The sequence below is a fragment of the Homo sapiens genome, chromosome 8, assembly GCF_000001405.40.
Source record: "Homo sapiens chromosome 8, GRCh38.p14 Primary Assembly".
NCBI lineage: Eukaryota > Metazoa > Chordata > Mammalia > Primates > Hominidae > Homo > Homo sapiens.
Window position 1 is genome coordinate 21,654,958 of NC_000008.11, and position 6,673 is coordinate 21,661,630.

Consider the following 6,673-nt stretch of genomic DNA (forward strand, 5'->3'; position numbering starts at 1 on the left):
CTCTTGACTGAAGATCCTCTTGAGGAACTAGGGGAGGAGAGGCTGCACCTAATACCTGCAAAAATTTATAAAATTTTCCTCTTCCTAGTAATCCTATCCACACATGAGGATTACTGTCCACACTATGGAGGGCCACAGCCTTTCTCTCATGGAATCCACCATCCTTCTCCCTATACCTCCAAAAACTGAGGAGCAAAACAGAGTGACCCATTCATTTGTCCCTGGAGTACTGAGTGGTGCCATTTGGAACCACCGGCAAGATAAGCAGGTTCCTGCTCATCAGTGAGGTACCAGCAAGACTCCTTACAGCCTAAGAAGACATCATTAAATACTTTTGGCCTTGTCATATCTACCGTCAAGTTCCCACTTTTCACAGAATTGATTTAAGTGAGTTTCTATTATAATCAACCAAAAAGACCTTGCTCCAGAGAAAATTCCTAGAGCCTGCTATGCCTCAGTCTTTGACCCTACTTGATGGAAAACAGCAGAGGAGGAAGAGCGTGAGATGTGAGGCCAGACAGACCCCGATGTGCATGTGGTTTCTTCTTAAAAAATAAAAACAGTGAAGCTCACGTTTCTCCATTCAGTGGGACTTGCTGTGGTTTGGGGTAAGCAGCTTTGCTAGAGTTGGGGAAGTTCTCTTCTAATTCTAGTTTCCTGAGAAATGTTTTAGGATGATAATTATTGCTATAAACAGGTGTTGAACCTTGTCATTTTTATTATTATCATTATAAACAGATATTGAACTTCATCACATGTTTTTTATGCAACTCCTGGGATAATCATACGATGTTTTTTTTCTCCTTTGGTCCACTAATGTGGTGAATTGCCAGACTTTCTGCTGTTAAACCGCCCTGCATTCTTCCCGGAAACCCACCGACATGACTGGATTCAGTTAGCTAATGCTTTATTTAGTATTGTTTTCATCTATTTTTGCAGGTGAAATGGGCCTATCATTTTTTACTCCTTTCCTTGTCTAGTTTAAGAGTAACAATTAAATTAGCTTCATTAAATGGATCAGACCACTTTTTTCCTCTTTCTATTTTCTGGAACAGCTTCTGCAAGATGAGGATTATTTTCTCTATAAATGCTTTGTAGGATTTAATTGTAAAGGGATATGGGCCTAGTTCTTTAAAGGCAGGGACTGGCTAGGATTTTAATTTTTTTACTCATTACTGGTCTGTTTGGGTTTTTTATTTATTCTTTGCCAATTTTGGCATTTCTCATTTTTTTCAGAAAATATCCAATCCATCTAATTTTTAAAATGTACTGGTACTTTATAATATTTTTGTAAGATTATTTGAATATTTAAACATCTATTGTGTCTGTCATTTTCCTTTTTTAATCCTGTCTTATTTCTTTTTCTCTCAACCACTTTTAACAGTGGTTTGTCTATCTTATTAATCTTTTCAAAAGACCTACATTCAGCTTTGCTAAGCTTCCGTGATTTCTTTGTTGTCATTTGCTATTCATTTATGTCTGCCTTTATGTCTATGATTTCCTTCTTTTTCTTTAAGCTTATTCTGTTGCTACTTTTCCAGCCTCTTGAGATAAGCACTTAGCCCCTTTGTTTAAGATATTCTTTATCTTCTTAATGATGTATTTAAGGCTATCCCTTCTCTCCTAAGCTGCTTGATCTATGTCCCACAACTTTTGCCATGTGGCTTGTTCATTCATTTAATCCTAAATATTTTGTGACTGTTTTTATTAATTCTTCTTTAATCCAAAGACTGTTTAGTATTGTCATTTTTGTTTCTAGACACACAGTCTTTGGATTTTAACTGATTTGGAGTTTCATTGCATTTTGGTCAGAGAACAGTGATATGGTTTGGCTGTGTCCCCACCCAAATCTCAGCTTTAATTGTATCACCCAGAATTCCCACGTGTTGTGGGAGGGACCCGGGGGATGTAATTGAATCAGGAGTGCCAGTCTTTCCCATGCTACTCTCGTGATAGTGAATAAGTCTCACGAGATCCGATGGGTTTATCAGGGCTTTCCCTTTTTGCTTCTTCCTCATTTTTCCCTTGCTGCCATCATGTAAGAAGTGCCTTTCGCCTCCCACCATGATTCTGAGGCCTCCCTAGCCATGTGGAATTGCAAGTCCAGTGAAACCTCTTTTTGTTCCCAGTTTCAGGTATGTCTTTATGAGCAGTGTTAAGATGGACTAAATACAAACACTATCTGTGAGATGCGTATGATATTGGTCCTGTGGAATTTATTGAGGCTGTTTTTGTGCTCTGATTTATGGCCAATTTTGTAAATGTTCTACGTATAATCAAAATGCATTTTCCGTTATGTTTAAATTACATATTTGCACATAATTGTACACACACATTTAAGATTATTAAAAAGTTGTTCAAATCTTCTGTATACTTAATAAATTTTGTTTCCTTGCTCTATAAACTTATGAGAGAAATATGTTAAAATATTCAAATAAAATGGTTGATTTATCTATTTTTCTCTGTTTCTACAGCTACTTTTTATATGTATGTGCATGTGTATAAATATACACACATACATATTTGAGGCTATCTTACTAGGTGTGTATATATTTTTCATGATTTTATAGACTTATGATCCTTTATTCCTTTTACTGGAATATAACGTTCCTCCCTTTTTTTTCTTATAAAATTTTTTGGCTCATGTTTGCTTGCTATTTCTTCTTTTACCCTTTTATTTCCAATCTCTTGTTGTGTATCTTGCAGAAAGTGTATTCTTAAGTCTTGTGTTTTTAATCCAATTTAAGTCTCTATATTTTGAATTATGATTTTAACTCATTTATATTACTATAAATTGATGTTATATTAAGAATTATGTTTGCTATTTATTTCACATTTCTTATTTCACATTTTCATACTTGTTTTTCCTTCTTCCCTTTTTTCCACTGGATAGATAAAACTTCCCTCTGCTGGTCTGAATGCTCTATGTTCTTTTTTTTATGGTATTGGCCTAATTTACTCTCATTATTCAGGCTAAAACTGTGGGCGGTATCCTTGGTTCCCCTCCTTCTCTCACCAGTCCATAAGGATGTCCAGTTAGCTCTTCCTTCAAAATACATTCAGAATCTTATGGGGATATGAGATACATATATATATTTCTTTTTTTTTATTTTATTTATTTATTTTTTTTAAGACAGGGTCTCACTCTGTCACCCAGGCTGGAGAACACTGGTGCGATCATGGCTTACTGCAGCCTTGACCTCCTGGGCTCAGGTGATCCTCTGGATTCAGTTAGCCTCTAAAGTAGCTAGTACCACAGGTGTACACCACCATGCCTGGATAATTTGTGTGTGTGTGTGTGTGTGTGTGTGTATTTTTTATAGAGACAGATTTTCGCCATGTTGCCCAGGCTGTTCTTGAACTCCTGGGCTGAAGCAATTCGCCCACCTCAGCCTCCCAAAGTGCTGCAATTGCAGGCATGAGCCACCACACCCAGCCTGGCCCCTTGTATTAGTCTCTTCTCATACTGCTATAAAGAAATACCCAAGACTGGGTAATTTATAAAGAAAAGAGGTTTGATTGGCTCACAGTTCTGCAGGACGTACAGGAAGCATGGCTGGGAGGCCTCGGGAAACTAACAATTATGGCAGACGGTGAAGGGGAAGCAGGCTCATCTTACATGGCCAGAGCAGGAGGAAGAAAGAGAAGGGGGAGGCACTACAAACTTTTAAACGACCAGACCTTGTGAGAACTCACTCACTATCATGAGAACAACCAAGGGAAATACATCCCTATGATCCAATCACCTCCCACCATTGGCAATTATAATTAGATGTAAGATTTGGGTGGGGACACAAATTCAAACCATATCACCCCTGATTCCTCATCACTTCCACTGACACCCTCATCTCCTACCTGAGTCAATGTCCTCATGTCCCAACTGGTCTCCAGTCTTCCATCTTAGCTGCCTAGAATATGTTCTGATTTAAAAGCCATATCGGTGCTTTTAAAACATTAAGGCCACATTGTTCCCCTGCCCAAACTCTCCATCATCTGCTCACATCACTCAGAGGAGTTAAGCTCATGTAATGGCCTACGGGCACACCCCTCCTGGGAGACACCCTCTCCTCCCAATCTCCCCTTGGCCCTCTCCACTCCAGCTCCACTGCTGTTCTTCACACAGTGGGGCATGCTGCAACCTTAGGGCCTTTTCACTCTTCTCTCTTCATAGAACACTCCTCCCTGAGACAGCCATGTAGCTAACTCCCTCATCTCCTTCAGGACTGGGCTGGAACGTCTCCTTCTCAATGAGACCTACCCTCCCATTTTACCTCAGTTGCAGCCCTCCCCATCCTGGCACTCCCAATCCTTCTCCGTGCCACCTCGGGTTTTGCATAATACTTACAGGCTTCTATCATACCTTTATCTATTTATTCATTCATTTCTTATGCTTACTGAGTGCCTTCTGTCTCTCTCACTCCATGAAAACATTAGGGGTGTCCATGAAAACTGCAAGGCTCAGATCTCTGCTGTGAGAAGCACAATGGACTCACCGTCTCAGCTCACCCCTTGGGACCCACCATCACATTCATATTGAGTTCACACTTCCCACGGGCTGTTTCCAGCCAGCAGCTGAGCACAGCAAGGTCATTAACACGGATCCATTTGGCAAAATGCAAGACTCTCTTATGGGTGACTTTGGTTCAAGAATTCCCCGCTGGTGGGGCCAGAGCATTCCTGGAATTGCACTTCAGCCCAAGGCTGTTCTACTCCAAGCCTCCTCCCTTCCCTGTCTCCTTCTGCAGGCATCAGACCTGCATCACAGTGTGAGGCTCTCCTTGTCTTTCCTTGCTCTTTCTCCAGGAAACGTCATCCTATCATGGCATCTTCTTCTCAGTGGAACCGGACTAATGTATGGGTTTTGTTCACTGATGTACCCTGAGTACCTAGACTTGGAATGAGTGTGCAGTAAGTATCTGTGGAAGGAACGTCTAATGAAGGCTAAGTGCAAACCAATAGCATTCATCTTAGGGGCTGCCCCGAGATCCTGCTCTTACACTCCCTTGATTTGGCTCTGTAATAGGGAAGGTGGAGATGTGTCCTTTATAGCCTGGTTCTGACAAGTTAGCTCAATGAAAACTAGAATTGAGATCACAGGGTCTAACTGGGATAACCAATACCTGTGTAGTGGTATAGAATGTTTTTAAATACCTTTACAAACATTGTCATATGACCCTTACCCCAATGCTGGGAAGTACATTTTTCTGTATCTTAAAGTTGATTAAAACACACACACACCCCACAGACACACACACAGACACACACACCCCACAGACACACACACACAATAGTTATCTGAGTTGCTCAAGATCACACCACAGAGCCAGGATTCAAACCTAATTGTTCGCTTCCTGGGCCAACACTCTTCCCACTGCACCATGCTGAAGTGAGCCCCAGTATCAGAGACTGGGAGAAGAGTAAAAGTTAGTGACTTGTGGATTAATCCAGTCAGGGACCAGCATAGGCTCACAGCTAAGAGACAGGGCAGGCCTGGAGAACCAGACTTGGGGATAGGACCTCCCTGCTGCTCTGCTCCAAGCGGAGTGGTAATGGCGTTCCATGGAGTTGCACACCACTTCCTGAGCCTCAAGGGATGTCGAGAAGACTTAGCTAAATAAGAGTGGAATAGAAAAGAGACACAAAGGGAATATAGCCTTCTCATCCAGTCTGGGAAGAAGAGACTGGGTATATGATAAAGGCCTCTAGAATCAAAAGCTCTCCAAAGATGCTCTCCCGCCCTCTCCAATTGGAATGAAGTGAGCTGTCTTCCAATCCCATAAACCTAGCAGAACCTTTCATGCCTACCATGATGAGAAATTTTTTGCACTCAGAGCAGTAGAGCAGGAGTTGTGCAGCTACCCGCCGCTCTGCTTCTGGGGAGGGGGCGAGAGAGTCCCCTCCCCAGGGACACTAATGAGATCCTCCTGGAGAATGCAGCAGAAGGCCTCCAGTAAGTGGGCAGCCAGGCATTCAATCACCAAGGAGCTCCAATGGGGAGCTGTGATCACGGACAGAGGAGGAACTTACCAAAACCCATGGCCCTTGTGTGCCGCTAGCTAAATGAGGCCCCTTCTCTCTTTTGAAGCCTAAGGCAGAACCTACCGGCCTCTCCTTCTGCTCATCTGAGCCGAGGTCTCCAACCCCTCAGGCCCGTATTTGCTTCCAGCTAGCTCTAGGGTCCCAGTGGGGAGGTGGCATCCAGAGCTTCCCAGCCAGCCTGCTGCAGCACAGTGGTGGGACAGGAGTAGTTACAGGTTTACAAGACATTAATCTCTCCCTGATTTATTCTAGTGTGCCCTCCAAATGGTATTTTTTTTTTCACTCTTTTTCCCAGGCTGGAGTGCAATGGCACGATCTTGGCTCACTGCAACCTCTGCCTCCTGGGGTCAAGCAATTCCCTGTCTCAGCCTCCTGACTAGCTGGGATTATAGGCGCCCGCCACCATGCCCAGCTAATTTTTGTATTTTTAGTAGAGATGGGGTTTCACCATCTTGGCCAGGCTGCTCTTGAACTCCTGACCTCGTGATCCACCCGCCTCAGACTCCCAAAGTGCTGGGATTACAGGCGTGAGCCACCGCGCCCGGCCTAATGGTATCATTTTCTATGCATGCCATGATGTCAGAAGGAAGAAAGGAAGAAAGGGAGGAAAAAAGGGAGGGAGGGAGGGAAGGAA